Source organism: Homo sapiens, chromosome 1, assembly GCF_000001405.40.
Source record: "Homo sapiens chromosome 1, GRCh38.p14 Primary Assembly".
NCBI classification, from domain to species: Eukaryota; Metazoa; Chordata; class Mammalia; order Primates; family Hominidae; genus Homo; species Homo sapiens.
In genome coordinates, this window is record NC_000001.11 from 233,256,147 (window position 1) to 233,271,747 (window position 15,601).

The following is a 15,601-nucleotide window of genomic DNA, read 5'->3' on the forward strand; positions in this document are numbered from 1 at the left end:
GTTTAACCCTTCTGATTGAATGTGGCTGGCTGAAAAAATTAAGAAGAGCAAAAACTCAAGTAGGCAAACCAAATAAACTTTACATACAGCCTGAGGGGAAAACAAAAATAAAAGACTAAAATTGATCAAATAGCAAAATTTTTCACATATTTTCCTAATTGAATCCTCACAATAAATCTACAACATATTATGATTCCTGCTCTGTAGAAGAAACTCCAACACAGATGGATTTGATCAATTGTCCAAGCTCAACCAGCTGGTATTACTGAACCAAAATCTGGCCTTGGGCTATCTGATTCCAAAGTCAGTGCTCTATCCACTGGACACACTGCTTCTGGGAAGGCCTTCATGCGCTCTGGGTTATCACTGGCTAATACAGTAGCCAATAGCCACATGGCTACTTAAATGAATTAAAATCTAATGAAATTAAAAATGCCAGTTCTCATCTACACAACCCCCTTTTAAAGTATTAAATAGCTACCTGTGGCCACTGGCTACCATATTGGACTGCAGATATGGAATATTTCTATCACTGCAGAAAATTTTATTGGACAGTGCTAGCCTAGAGGTATGAATCTTTATATTAGATAGATGATAAACACCCAAATCTTTAAATACAAAAGTTTTTATCTCAGGTTACTCCTGCTTTATATACCGCCCTGTCTGTTAAAAAGTTTAACTGAATCAGAAAAAATTGCTCAGAGCAACCAGTATGGAGCCAGAGGAGCTCCTGGCTGTCCAGAAAGCAGAGGAAAAATCCCAGCACTAAGAAACGTTACTACCTACAGCACAGAAAATGAGCTACCATATGCAAACACAACTTTCAGTCAGCATTCCTACCATACAGATGCTATCTCAATACAGATCTATGTAGAAATGATATGCTCAGAAATCACAGCAGTAACAGAATTTAAAGCTAAAAGACCTTATAAAAGCTCTAGTCCAGTAACATCATTTTATCCATGAGGAAACTGAGGCCCAGAGACATTAAGTAACCTGAAAATAAATGTACCTTATCTTCATATAGGAAATATCATTTAATTTTTATGAGCAAGGACTGTGGAACAAGACTGCCTGGAATCAAATCTCAGTTCCAGCACCTCCTGAACTTACTAGATACTTGGGAAAGCAAGTGAAAATTTCTGAGACTCATCCGAAGAACAGGAAGGATGATGGTATATCCATAACGTAAAGTTATATAAGGAGTAAGTGAGTTAATATGAGAGTAACTGTATAATTTATCATCTAAACTGGGGACTCTTTTGAGAGACAAAGTCAGTGCTCTTAATAATTATGTTGGCAAAACATGTGTAAATGAGAACCCTTCCAGGCAAACCACAAGGTACAGTCACCCTCGTTAATACATGCAAAGTGCTTAGAACACTGCCTGGCATAAATTAAGAGCGGCAGAAGTGTTTGTTATTATTATGTGTACAACATGGGATAATTAGCGGATTCTGTATTTTATAATAGAACTCAGCAGGAAAAGTAGATTCACTTCACAGAAATTTGTCTTAGAATCAACTTTCCCAGAAGGCATCTATTCCATAAAGTAAGAAATATCTATTGCGAGTACTTGCCACAGTAGTAAAATATAATTGCTTATTTCTCTGGGAGTAAATAGTCTTGCCTTCTATAGGGAAGCAAAAAAATTATGACAATGCCTTAAGTGTCCTGGTAGAGTAGGACAATATATGTATACATGTTCATCACAGAGCTTAGTATCGGTACATTCAGCAAATATTGATGAGAAAGCCAAGCAACAAACGATTGCCCAAGAGTTGTCTCACTATTTGCAAAATCAAATTACACAAGGCAAATGGCAAAAAGGTGTATTGCCTTCTATGTCATCATCAGAACGGAAATGACATGGAATCGCACCTCGGAGAAGCCCACTTTCTTCATTCTGCTCAGCTGAGCCATTCAGTTGACTGGATGCCGTCATCTTGGAAGTATTAATGGATTCTAACAGGGAGACAAATTCCAGGAAGTTGGACTCATTTGGCATTTGTCCTTCCTTAGCCTCTAGGTCAGATTTGGAAGTTGGCATTGTTTTCTCTGTATCGTTAACAATTTCTGCAGAACTTTTACTCAAGAAGACATCTGTCCCACTGTCCACACTGAGCACCCGGGCATGCCTCTTTTCATGGCTGGACTTACAAGACGATGGGTCAAGGTTAGTCTGGCCTTCCTTCCCCACCTTAGACTCGGAGCCTGTATCAGGTGTAAGCCGGGACACCGATTCCCAGGGTTCCCGTGATGAAGAACTGTGATCCTTGATGGCATTTCCCCCCTCCCCAGATCCGTAGCCAGAACACTGATTGGTGGATACCCTCGTCTTCAGTCTCTCTGGAGTCCTTTCACTTCCATTGCCTTCGGGACAGGGAACACCTCCTCCCCCACCCTCAGGCAGGTCCAGGGTGATTACAGGAATTGAGATCTGCTCGGCATTTGGAGAACCGGCCGCCCCTGGGTTAGTGGGCTCAGCGTCAGACTTTACACTGGTCTTCTCTGTGCCAACCACCCTCAGGTGGAGGGAGCTTTCCAAATCTGTCATGGAGTTTGGGGTACTGCTCATCGTGATAACAATTTTTATGGGCTCATGTAGACTCAGTGGGTCTCCGGGTTGAGAAGTATCGATGAGAGTAACAGCTACCTCACTATCTGAGGAGTCCACTTCCTGGTGCAAGGGCAGGTCCCCCTGGCAGGAGGTATCTACCTGACAGGATGTGTCTGCTGGCTCCTCCACAGGCTTGGCCACGATGGTGTCACATTGAGGGCAGCTGCTGCTCAGGCTGTCCTGAGGTGACTTGCTTTGTACCCGTTCCCTTATGGAGCCCCGGGGACAACTGACAGGTTCTGGAATCAGGACTGAATTCTCACTCCCCCACGGCTGGAAAGAAACGTCTGTTTCTAGTAAGTCATACTGAGACAAAGACAGGTGGGGCAACTTCTTCAAGGGTCCCTTATCCACTAAGCCACCCTCGGATCTGTGGCGCAAAGGAGGCTGCCCCTTGCCTCCTCTTTCCTTTCCTTTACCATTGATGAGAGTTTCTGTGGCAACTGGTTTTACAGGTATTACTGACTTGGTCGTGGTTTCCAGCATGTGTGCTTGAGACGCAGGTAAGCTTTCCACTTTGATACCAGGTGAGGTAGATGACACTGGTGCTATGGGATGGTCTTCTAATAGAATGACACCTGAAATGACACATGGCAACTTTATTAGCATCAGAAATGAATGAGTAATGCCCAAGAGCAAGACCTAATGAATAATAACAAAACTAAAACAGCACCAGCAACTAATGGAATTAGATACTTTTTTAATTTTACTTTAAGTTCTGGGTTACATGTGCAGAACATGCAGGTTTGTTACACGGGTATACATGTACCATGGTGGTTTGGTGCACCTGTCAACCCGTCATCTAGGTTTTCAGCCCTGCATGCATTAGGTATTTGTCCTAATGCTATCTCTCCCCTTGCCCCCCACCTCTGACAGGCCCCAGTGTGTGATGTTCCCCTCCCTGTGTCCATGTGTTCTCATTATTCAACTCCCATTTATGAGTGAGTTTAGTTTTCTGTTCCTGTGTTAGTTTGCTGAGAATGATGGTTTCCAGCTTCATCCATGACCCTGCAAAGAACATGAACTCATTCTTATTTACGGCTGCATTGATACTTATTTTTTAAAATAACACTCCCACTGTGAAATTATTCTTGAAACACAACAATAAAAATAAAACAAATGAAAAGCAATACAGTATAACAACTATATATATAGCATTTACATTGTATTAGGTATTATAAATAATTTAGAGATAATTTAAAGTATACAGGAGGATGTGTGTAGGTTACAAGCAAATACTATGCTGTTTTATATAAGAGACGTGAGCAACATCCACAGATTTTGTTATCCACGGGGGTCCTGGAACCAAATCCCCTAAAATACTGTAGAACACCACCAACTAGGATGGTATCTTTTATAAGATTTGACTAAGGAAAAAACAGAATTCTTTGCTTTACTGCAGTGTTGCTAAGAAACACTGGATTTAGTAGCCAGGTATGGGTTTAAATGCTACCTGTACATTTTACATACTATGACTCAGAATGAAATAATGTATGTAAAACTTCTACTGCAATTCTTAGTACAAGTAAAAAATAGAAAATTATTGTTTTAATTGGAATGGTGAAATTAAAAGGCCAGACCAGATATTCAAAGTATGTAAGATTATTATAGCACACCTAATCTGGAAGAATATGTTTCATATGAAGAAAAAGGTATGTGCTTGTATATGTGTATATAAAACACATAAAGTAACGTTGTTATGAAGCTGTACGTGCAACTAAAATATTAGAAGTCTAACTCATGTGAATTTATTTCAGTAGCAATAATATAGAAAAAATATGGATAATCCTTTACATATTGTTATAATGGGATACAACTGAATGATGAAAAAAGAAACTTCATTTTAGGGGTTCAGGGCTATGGTGCTAATTTCAGCTATTTTCTAGAGCGAATTAAACTTTACATTATTTTCAAAATTGAAATAGTGCACAAAATTTGTCTTTGTAGTAGTGGAAAAGAAAATAGAATTGCAGAGAAAGGAAGGAATTAATTCAGGCCTCCAAAAGATCTTTTCTAAGCCTTCTGCAGGTAGTCAAAAGACAAAAAAAAAAAAGTTAGTAAAAATGTAAAACAAAAATTGTTTAAGTTAAAAGAAAGATCCCCCAAAACAAAATCTGTAACTTGAAAGAAAGGCAGATATGCAGAATGCTGTACAATTTATCCTGTCATTTTTTGATGTATATGCTATAATACAAATTTTTATATGGATGATAATTTATCATCAATAAAAAACTTATATGTCTGCTCTTTATAAGCCATATGAAATGAGGCATAGACTGGAGAAATGACAATGAATTATGATCAACAAAATATCACAATTTGAATTAAGACTTGATATACAAATACCGATGAGAAAAAATTAAAATTAAGAGTTAAAGAAACAAAGTCAAAATATAACTATGCAGTCTTAGGTATAGTTCTTATTTTCAATTAATCCACTGGCATTCTGTTTTATAAAAATATTTCTCACTTCACTGAGGATAGTGCTGTGATAAAATATAAATGATTAACAGTTTACCTTTGAGATCTTCTACAGTTTCCTGTGCTGACAACTCCTACACAAATGAAAGAAACAAAAATCAATAGATGACTCAGCTGACCGTCCATTTCCAGACAGTCGGCAATAACTGACAGCAGTCACTGATTTTCTAAATGGCATGTAGGGGAGAGACAATACAGTGTTCACTCTCCTTAAGCTTCTATAAAATGGGGCCCAGAATGGATACAAACATATGTAAATGTGGACATTCAACCGAGACAACTGTACTGTGACAAAGGGAGATTTGCTACTAAGAAAGTAAGCAAAGAAGGAAGAAGCCACTACTTACACTATAGTGAATGGAGCTCAACAAAGTTAATCTAGAAAAAAGGTGATTTATTGACTTCCCAAAAAGACAAGTGTGATTTAAAATGGAAAGCAGAGGTGATATCCATTTCAGGTGGAAGGCACTGCAGATATGATGACTTAAATGAATGACAACAGAAAGAAGCAAAGGCCTACATATTGGTTCTCTGCCCAGTGTGGTTGACCCAGCAGCGCAGGTGGACGGCAGGGAAGGCCAGAGAGTGTGCTTTGAACACACGACTGGGCATTTATTTTATGGTCCCAAGGGCACCCTTCAGGCCATTTCCAGACCCTGGGATGTGATATTCCACTGTACACGGGCCAGTGATTACAGCATGCAAGCTACAATCACTGCTGCTGAACACTCCCATTCTAGGTGAGATCAACATCGAAATCACATGAAGAGGGTGAAACAGGAAAGAAGACCACTAACCAATGGCCCAGAAGAGTGATGAGAGGTTATGCTTTGCCCTCTGGAGCTGCAGCGGAGGGGAGGCGTGGAGAGGTTTCGACTGGCCTCTTCCTTTTTGCCATTGTGAATCTGCCTATTATTGCTAACCCAACATGAGAAACACAAGAGCAGTGAGCGATATTATCAAACAGAAGCATGACTCTTTTAGTACTAGTCTAAAAACTTTTTTTCCTAGAGTCCATTTTGTTATATTCCTTACATATAAATCTTTTTTTGTTGTTGTTAAGAGACAGGGCTTCGCTCTGTCTGGGTAGACTGGAATGCAGTGGCACGATCATGGCTCACTGCAGCCTCAAGCTCCTGGACTCAAGTGATCCTCCCACCTCAACCTCCCAAAATGCAAGGTTTACAGGCATAAGCCACCATCTGCAGCAGATAAATCTTATAATAAACATTATTTTTAAATTAGAGGACATGCTATCTTAAGGAGCTATAAGAAATAATACAAGAATGGTGAAAAGAATGCTAACTCAAGAATTACTCTTAATATTTCAGTTCTATGTAATGTATTACTTTTATATCAACAAACACAAATGCTGTTCTTTAAAATACTCTGGCATGCTCTAAGCATTTAAATAACAACATTAAAAGCAGTGAAGGGAAATTTTTTGCAGTGCTAAGCCTAAGGCAAATGAATTCTAGATCTTATGAGAAGGTCATATTGACTTCCCAAAAAGACATTTATTGGGAAGCCAGTTAAACCATCTTGATTATGAATATCAATTTTATGCTTAAGTATATGCTGAAATATAAGAAAAATGCATATATTTCTGTCTGCCTATACTAGTAATTTCATAAACACTGATAAAAAACTTATTTTAATCAAGAGCAAAACATTTACATTTTGAAGTGTCACATTAATTGAAAATATTACCTTGGATTTCTGTGATTAGTTATGTGTTCACCTTTGGCCTCCTTGTCTTTATTTGGCTTTTCTTCCTTTCTGGAGGGCTTTTGCTGAATTACTTCTCCTTTGTCAAACATGAGGTGTAGGCGATAACTGACCAGTTTGATTATTGTGAAGAATATAGTCACTGCACTGCAGTAGAAAAATACAATGATCGCATTTGGAGGAAAAGCCTGAAGAAAGGAAAAGACAGAGAAAAATCATTTGCTTTTAAGATTTTCTTTCTGTTTTAAATCTGGAAGCATTTTTAGACTATCTATTGAATATAAATTAGGCAAGATTTCAAATTAGACTAATTTTTTAAGTTTTCCTGGTTAAAATACTTGAGGAGAAAGAGCTGCTTTTTATTTTTTGAAGTCTTTTTTGTTTCTCAGGTTCTGTAGTAGTTGCACTGATAACCAACATTTGATTTGCAGGCAGGAACCCCACAGAACAAAAGATATATTCGAGGAAACCTCTCCATTTTTTTTTTTTTTTTTTTTTGAGACAGTGTCTCACTGTATCACCCAGGCTTGAGTGCAGTGGCAAGATCTCGGCTCACTGCAACCTCCGCCTCCCGGGCTCAGACAATTATCCTGCCTCAGCCTCCCGAGGAGCTGGGATTACAGGCATTCACCACCATGCCCGGCTAATTTTTGTATTTTTAATAGAGACAGGATTTCATTATGTTGGCCAGGCTGGTCTCGAACTCCTGACCTCAGGTGATCCGCCCACTTCGACCTCTCAAAGTGCTGAGATTAAAGGTGTGAGCCACTGTACCCGGCCTCCATGTTTGATAAGCTCTTATCTATGGCCTAATCCAATGCATCTTCCTATGCAGCTCATCTTAAAGGCCAGAGATGTATTTTGTTTTCAACAACAAAACACAAAAAGCCTTGTGGAGAACAGAAGGAAAAAGAAGGGAGAAAGGTTAGGGTAACCACTCCCCCATTCCCCTCCCTAACCTCCCACTGCGATAACGCCTGCAGGCCATGGATTTCCCTAGGGTTGTATTGCACACAGGGAACCACAAAAGGGTACTACTTCCAAAAGGAAGAGGGATATTTCCAGCAGAGACAAATGATCTGAGCATGGCGACCATAGTGAGGTTCAGCTCAATTCTATGCAATCCCTTCAAGAAACAAAACGAAAAGAATCACTGGGACCCGTGGAGTTGTCCCACTCTGTAGCATCTCCCATATACCTTCCTAATTCTCTCCAGGACCATGGACTATCACACGTTCTCTGGTCCTTCCTAAACTACATTCCTATTCTTTGGGATGGAAAGAGATCCCCAAGTGTCCCAAGGTGATATCCAGGACAGCCTCAATGATTCGCAAGACCATTTTATCAATGGACTTCCCTAAAGAATATCAGAAATCCAGTGATCCGTGTAGCTGGTGCCTCAACCTAAACATAGCTAGGCTTGCAGACAGCAGGGCCCAGTCCATATCCATGCCTAAGCAGACCCTGTACAGCTTGCCGTGGTCCCATGCAAGAGTCTATCTTCCAAGTTGGACTGTCCCTAAAATGGAATAGCCAAACAGAGCACAAAAAAGAAAGAGGAAGATGATCAACAAGTAAAAGATAAAGTCAGAGATTTTCACCATCACTTAACTCGCTCTTATTATGTCATGGGGGGAAAAGTCCACAAATAAATATAAAGCAAGCAATAAATAAGTGACGGAATAACTATATAAGATGATACAAGCTAGATAATAAAGCCAGGTCCACTACCTGGCAGCAGATAAGGTTTATATTTACAAAAGGTGCATTTGTAAATATAAACCTTATATTTACATCCTAAATACTACTAATACGTTAAAATACTACTAATTTAAATACCACTAAATTAAATACTACTAATAGTTTTGGGTTTCAAAAATTTAAGCTAAATCTAGAGAGTTAATTTGAAGAGGGTAAGAAGGAAAAGAAAACCTGCAGATGTCCGTGAAAACAGATTATTGTTATATAAAAATGATATTCCGCCAGGCATAGTGGCTCATGCCTGTAATCTCAGCACTTTGGGAGGCCAAGGCAGAAGGATTGCTTGAGCCCAAGAGTTCAAGAGCAGCCTGGGCAACATAGTGAGACCCCCCCTCCGATCTCTACAAAATTTAAAAATTAGCCAGGTGTGGTGGCATGCACCTATAGTCCTTGCTACTGGGGAGGCTGAGGTGGGAGGACCTCTTGAGCCTAGGAGTTCAAGTTTACAGTGAGCTATAATCATGCCACTGTACTCCTCCTGCCTGTGCTACCAAGTGAGACCCTCTCTAAAAAAAAAAAAGGAATTATATTCAAGAGATTGTTGAATTTTCATGTAACTAGGGTTTCATAGTACTCTAGTCAGCAAGGGTAGCAAAGAGAGTTAGTGATCACTAAATACTCCATCCTCTCCTCTTCATTTCCTAGCTTCTCTTGCAGTGAGGCTGAGGCCATATGACTACTTTTGCCCAATGGACAATGAGCACAAGTGCTGGCTTAGACAATTATGAGCTAGGTGCCTCCCGCATCCCACTCTTTTCCTCTTTACTTGGTGACCTCAGAAGACATGTTTTCCAGATGATATGTCTATAAGATGATGCAGTTTCTTTCAGACTAGGTACCTGAGTAACTCTGCGGAGCAAGGCCCCTATAAACACAAGATGAGCCCATAACGGAATAAGTAGTAAACTTTTGAGTCATTAAACCACTGAGATTTGGAGTTGTGGCCGCTGTGGAAGCTAGCAATACTTAATTAATAACAGGGGGGTCCATTTTCATGAGGAATCTTCCATTCAAATTAGATTAGAGATAAATTGAGAAAACCCTAAGGCACTGAGAAAAGAATGGAAGGGAAGAAGAGTAAGAGATAAAAAATTGTATAGGGCTCTTGGGAAAATTCACTTAGAAAAAAACTGGCATGCCCCAATATTCAGAGAGATATTGCTTTTCAGTTTATCCTCATAAATTTAGGCTATAGTGTAAGCTTGGTAATACTGAAATTAAGTGAGGGCAAGAAGTTAGAATTTGAAGTTACCATGAGTACTAGCATCTAGCTAGCAACCCAAGTGAGAACAGGCCCTTGCCTCATCCTCTATAAAGGACCACTTGGCACTTTGTCATATCTGCAGCCCATGGACCTGACCAGACCATAGTGGGAGACAGAGATTTTACTGAAAATTTTCTGGAAGAAAGGTTTTACAGCATGCTATGCATGGTACATTGTTTCTCCCCAAACTCCCTGATCTCTTAATTCCTTTAAAAACCTCTCCCTAGCCAGGTGCAGCAGCACGTGCCTGTAATCCGAGCTTCTCAAAAGGCTGAGGCAGGAGGATCTCTTGAGCCCAGGAGTTCAAGACCAGCCTAGACAACATAGAGAGACCCTGTCTTATTCATAATTAATTAATTAATTAATACCTCTCCCTTCAGTAGACCCTCCAAATTGAATCTAGCATCTCCAAACACTCCTTTCTTACGCCATGCAATTATGCTCTTCCGAGGCTCCTCCAATTCCACATGCCCAGGGACATCCCTGAAAATCACTTGCAAGGCCATTTGACTGCAGACATCATCATACTCAGGAAACAGAAGACCTCTAGCTTCCAGTATTTTCTCTCCATAGAGGTGTGAATGCAGGCAGAGAAAGAAGGCTTAGGAAGGGATTCGCCATAGATGAGCAGTTATGAATTGTTCCTAAATTTTCCCCTTGATGTAAGGTATACTCATATTTTTGAATAGCCGTTTTCTTGTTCTAAGGGAAATTACAAGTTCTTATTTCTATGAGCTTTTCATTTTAACACATTCTAGTTAACAATGGGAGGCAACATTTTTCAACATCATATCCTTGGCCAAAGAAAAGTTTTATGTTGTTTTCTGACCCATTATTAATATAACTAGTATTATAATGACTCATTTGACCAAGGTTTTATGACAACATTTCATGAAAAACAACACACTGTTACCAACTAAGCAGTTACAGTTCTTCCCATTGGACCCACCTCTGTCTGTTTCTTCAGGCTCATAGCTCTAGCTGCCTCACAGTCACTACTCTGTTTTTTTTTCTCTCTTTTCTTTAAAACTTTTGTGGCCAGGCACAGTGGCTCACACCTGTAATCCCAGCACTTTGGGAGGCCAAGGTGGGCGGATCACCTAAGGTCAGGAGTTCAAGACCAGCCTGGCCAACGTGATGAAACCCAGTCTACTAAAAACACAAAAATTAGCCAGGCGTGGTGGTGCATGCTTGAAATCCCAGCTACTCGGGAGACTAAGGCAGGAGAATCACTTGAACGTGGGAGGCAGAGGTTGCAATGAGCCAAGATCGCACGCACCATTGCACTCTAGCCTGGGCGACAAGAGCGAAACTCCATCTCACAAAAAACAAACAAAAAAAAACTTTTGTTTTACTGTGGTAAAATATATATAATACAAAATTTACCATCGTAACCATTTTAAAATGTAGAGCTGAGGAGTGATAATTACACTTGCCTGTGTGCTACCGTCACCACCATCCATCTCCAGAATTTTTATCTTCCCAAACTGAAACTGTACCCATTAAACACTAACTCCCCATTCTCCCCACCCCCCATCCCCTGGCAACCACCGTTCTACTTTCTGTCTCTATGATTTTGACCACTCTAGATAAATCATATAATTAGAATCATATAGTACATGACCTTTTGTGACTGTCTTACTTCACTAAGCATAATGTGTTTAAGGCTCATCCACACTGTAGCCTGTGTCAGAATTTCCTTCTTTTTTAAGGCTGAGTAATATTTCATTGTATGGCTAGAACACATTTTGTTTATTCATTCATCCATTGGTGGACATTTGGGTTCCATCTACCTTTTGGCTACTGTGAATAACGCTGCTCTCAACATGGGTGTACACATATCTGAAGCCCTGCTTTCAGTTCTTTTGAGTATATACCCCAAAAGAGGAATATCTGGATCACATGATAATTCGATGTTTAGTTTTTTTTTTAAGACAGTCTTGCTCTGTTGTTCAGGCTGGAGTGCAGTGGCACAATCTTGACTCACTGCAATCTCTGCGTCCCGAGTTGAAGCAATTCTCCTGCCTCAGCCTCATGAGTAGCTGGGACTACAGGCGCGCACCACCAAGCCCAGCTAATTTTTGTATTTTTAGTAGAGACTAGGTTTCACCATGTTGGCCAGGCTGGCAGCAAACTCCCAACCTCAGGTGATCCACTCGCCTTGGCCTCCTAAAGTGCTGGGGTTACAGGCTTGAGCCACCGCGCCTGGTTTATGTTTAATTTTTGGAGGAACTGCCTCACCATTTTCCATAGCAGCTGTGCTGTGTTACATCACTCTGGTTTTTAACTACAGGCCAATGGGTTTTGCCTCCCATCTTTTGAATGGCCTGGAGAGATAAAAAATCTGGCTGAGTGAGGATTAGCTATAAGTAATGCCCATGCCCAGTGAGAATCAACCGCTGCTGAGGGTTTCTGTTTGCAGACATAAAGAAGGACACTCTTGGGGGCTCATCCTTTACTGATGTGTACCTCATAAGGGTACTTTATCACTCGGCTTTCACAAGCTAATTTTGAAGAAGTCTTCTGGAAATGAATAGATTCATTCTGCACATGAAGAAGCTGGGTGTAAAGTGGGTCATGCTGCAGCGTTGATGAGCTCACAGAACTCCTCCTTTCTGGAAGTTACCTACCTAGCAACTTCAATGACCTGACTGAGAACCAGAGACTCAGGAGAAAGTAATAAAAGTGTGGCCTTCCTGGGCAGTCAGAACACATCACTGTTAGAGGGAGACAATTCCTCCCCACTTCTTGGTTTCAAAAGAGGGGATGATTCTCTCTACATAGCCAGCCTCTCCACCCCCATGACTTCCTCCTCCCTTAGTGACTTCTGATGAGTGATTTGGGGAGCCAGAACTGGGCATGTCTTTCTCATGCCCTCCCCTTCTTCTCTCTCAGGAGCTGGTTGGGCCAAGAAGGTGTGTCTGGGTGGCTCCTATACTGCAAGGCCTCCAGTGTCAGGCCCCAAGTAAAGAGGCCCAAGGCTGTGCATGGTGCCCCTGACCAAGTGGGTAAGTCTCTATCACTCTGGGGTCCACAGTGAGGAAGTCCACTTGCCTGCAGATATTAATATCAGTCACATTCCCAAATATCAGTTCATTCACACTAAAGGTGATCTTCTGAATTCCTTATGTTTGACTCTTTTGTCTCCCTTAAGTGCCTCAGAAGAGGATGTGTTATCTATGGGGACACCAAGTCTATGAATAAAGTTCTTGAACTTAACTGGAAAGGGAGCTGCTCAGAGCTTCACTAGATGTTCTGTGCTCTTGGTCTAAGCATAATTCATTTACCTGGCACATAATAAGCCTAATAAACTCAGTTTCCCAGCCCACAGCAGAAACTAGAAGGGAAAATGAGGAATGAACAGAAGTAGGCACAATAATGTAACAAGACCTAATAAATGACAGCTGAAGTCTTGGGAGAAGTAAAACTAGAAAAAAGAAAACGCACCCATAAAAAAGCAAAGGCACTTCTCCAATTATTTTCTGAGACACAAATACACCTCAGTTATGTCTGAGGCTATCACTACAATAGCATAATATCTAGGATTACAAAGAAAATGGTCTGTGATATTCAATATACTGTCAGAGAAGGCAGGGACATTTAAAACTATCCCATCAATGTGGTTAAAGTAAATTGAGTTTTCCTGCTTAAAGGTTAAGTTTCAAATAATTTGAAAAATGTTTTTACTCAGAATATGTGGCCTAATAAATGAAGCATTAATCTGCCAAACATAACACTCACACTCAAGTTTGACATTTATATGCCCATCCGAGAGTGCTGGGATGATTGTGCTGTATGCCAGAGCATTTCCTCTGGCTGTGGGGAACTGCTTAGTCTGGTTATTTATGCCATCCGTGGGCTTTAGAACCTCCTACTCAAGCTGCTGGAAGACTGACAAGTTCTACAACTATTTGAAAACCACAGGTTCATCCAAAAAGATAGAATTCAGACTGAGCAATATGAGTTGCCTTATCTGCTTCAGAGTTAACAGAGATTCTTTTCTGCTCATCCATTTTATCAAATTAAGAGAGAGCACCTTTGTCCATCTGGTCATCCATCCCCATTCATTCATTCATTCATTCCTTTCACAGGTAAATGTTAGTATCTTGTCTCTGCCATTCAAGTATGACTCTTGGGTCCTATTTAAGTAAGTTATAATTCCTTGAGGGATTGAGGACAGGTGTGTATACAAAAAAAAGCACATGACAGAGAAGTGCTATCATTTCTTTGCGTTTATATATGTGAAGGGAGTTACAAGTTTTCAGATTCAAAATAATATTTCTTACATATTTCATGCATTTCTTTTATGAAAAAATAAACTAAACAAATTTAGTATTTTATCAGAAAATCTGGAACTTGTGATTATATGTTGAAAACTAGAACAAGCCCAGCAGAAGTTTGGATCACAGGAATATAGGCCAAGAACCCCTGGACGTAGATGTGTACAGAATGCATCCTGACATACAGGAACCTGCCCCCGACAGGTTACGGACAGGGGGTCTCCATGCAGCTCCCCTTAGATATAGGCCCCCCTTGCAAATACCTGTTTAAAAATGATGAGGTAGATGGAATCAAAACATTTGACAGTTTCTCAAAATTTAGCTCTATGTGAACGTCTATCCTGCAAAGTAAGATGAACAAAAAAGTAGAATAGAACACTTTGTCTTAGGCCTGCTATTTGACTTTTGTTGGGTTTGCTGTCTGTTTCTTATGAAATCTGCTCTGATTTTGTTGAGCTCCTGGACCTCTTTCTTAGTGTGCAGTTTTGATGAGAGAAATTGATGATAGAGAGGTGACAAGTGAGTGTCTGGACCGTTAGGATGGTGCTACAGGGAATGGTAAGATGAAAAAAACAGCCAAAGGTTAGAAAGTTAGATTTGACCATATCAGCAGAGTCATTAAAATGAGAATCATTGTAGACTTACTCACTTTGAAAATTATTTAAAAAGCTGCACCTTTCTCTCTTCTCTTCTGATAGAGAATATTGAATGGATAACTTAGTAAATGAATGTTTAGTTTAGTCAAGAAATTTGAACTCATGTTGTCGTTTTCATTTTAAATGGCCATGGTAAGAGTTAACATAATACTTATATTTTTAATGTACACTGAGATAAACAGAATGAATCAATAAGTTTATACAAGACAAAGTTATGTCAACTTCAATGCAATGACAAAATCAATCATAAATTTGTACTGAGGTTGTGTTGGAAATCCATGTCACATGTCTCCTAATAGAAATGTGCTATTTAAAATTAAAAATGAAAATTAAAAATTATGAATGTTTATAAAATATAACCCATACATGATCAACACCATATTTTATATATAATCTAAATCAAGACTGAATACTTATTTTTCATAAGGAATTTTGGAAATAGTTTTGGCTTGACAAAGTCAAAAACTTACTACTAAAATGTCTGAGTTCATTACCACCAAGTTCCTTGACTCTGTTTATTAAGTGCCCTCAAACCCAAATGATATAGAAAATGACGAGTGTCATGAACTTTCAAGCCTATATCAATTAATGTTCAAATTTAATGAAGTATATTACAGTTAATTTTAAGCAACATTCTTCAAATTCAATTTTGTTAAAATATTAAAATCAGGTCTTAGGTTTAAGTCTTTGATCCATCTTGAGTTGATTTTTGTATAAGGTGAGAAATGAGGATCCAGTTTCATTCTTCTACATGTGGCTTGCCAATTATCCCAGCACCATTTGTTGAATAGGGTGTCCTTTCCCCACTTTA

General features: G+C 39.7%; 1 protein-coding gene across 6 annotated transcripts in view, besides 4 other annotated features; it reads right to left on the reverse strand.

Moving 5' to 3' along the window:
• The window catches only part of PCNX2 (pecanex 2), a 343,895-nt gene that overhangs the window by 272,712 nt on the left and 55,582 nt on the right, over window positions 1–15,601 (reverse strand). For 5 of the 6 annotated variants that reach the window (XR_001737430.2, XM_047430870.1, NM_014801.4 and 2 more), the window contains exons 2-5: window positions 6,812–7,017; window positions 5,899–6,019; window positions 5,139–5,175; window positions 1,882–3,198 (exon numbers count right to left, since the gene is read on the reverse strand). Coding sequence is in view for 5 of the 6 variants with exons in the window: in NM_014801.4 (NP_055616.3) it covers window positions 1,882–3,198; window positions 5,139–5,175; window positions 5,899–6,019; window positions 6,812–7,017 (1,681 nt within the window). In the remaining variant the exon portion in view is untranslated. Of the gene's footprint in view, window positions 1–1,881; window positions 3,199–5,138; window positions 5,176–5,898; window positions 6,020–6,811; window positions 7,018–15,601 lie in introns of those variants that run through there. The other variant, XM_047430871.1, reaches the window with a different exon arrangement.
• Window positions 1,714–2,913: an enhancer, noted in NCBI's record as "BRD4-independent group 4 enhancer chr1:233393606-233394805 (GRCh37/hg19 assembly coordinates)". NCBI's record gives its function as "activates an origin of replication core promoter dependent on BRD2, P300/CBP, MED14 and CDK7 cofactors, and independent of BRD4, by STARR-seq in HCT116 cells {active_cell/tissue: HCT116}" and the evidence as "EXISTENCE:reporter gene assay evidence [ECO:0000049][PMID:35650434]".
• Window positions 5,261–5,380: an enhancer, noted in NCBI's record as "active region_2738". NCBI's record gives its function as "activates an Ori minimal core promoter by ATAC-STARR-seq in GM12878 lymphoblastoid cells {active_cell/tissue: GM12878}" and the evidence as "EXISTENCE:reporter gene assay evidence [ECO:0000049][PMID:35858748]".
• Window positions 5,411–5,490: an enhancer, noted in NCBI's record as "active region_2739". NCBI's record gives its function as "activates an Ori minimal core promoter by ATAC-STARR-seq in GM12878 lymphoblastoid cells {active_cell/tissue: GM12878}" and the evidence as "EXISTENCE:reporter gene assay evidence [ECO:0000049][PMID:35858748]".
• Window positions 12,490–12,569: an enhancer, noted in NCBI's record as "active region_2740". NCBI's record gives its function as "activates an Ori minimal core promoter by ATAC-STARR-seq in GM12878 lymphoblastoid cells {active_cell/tissue: GM12878}" and the evidence as "EXISTENCE:reporter gene assay evidence [ECO:0000049][PMID:35858748]".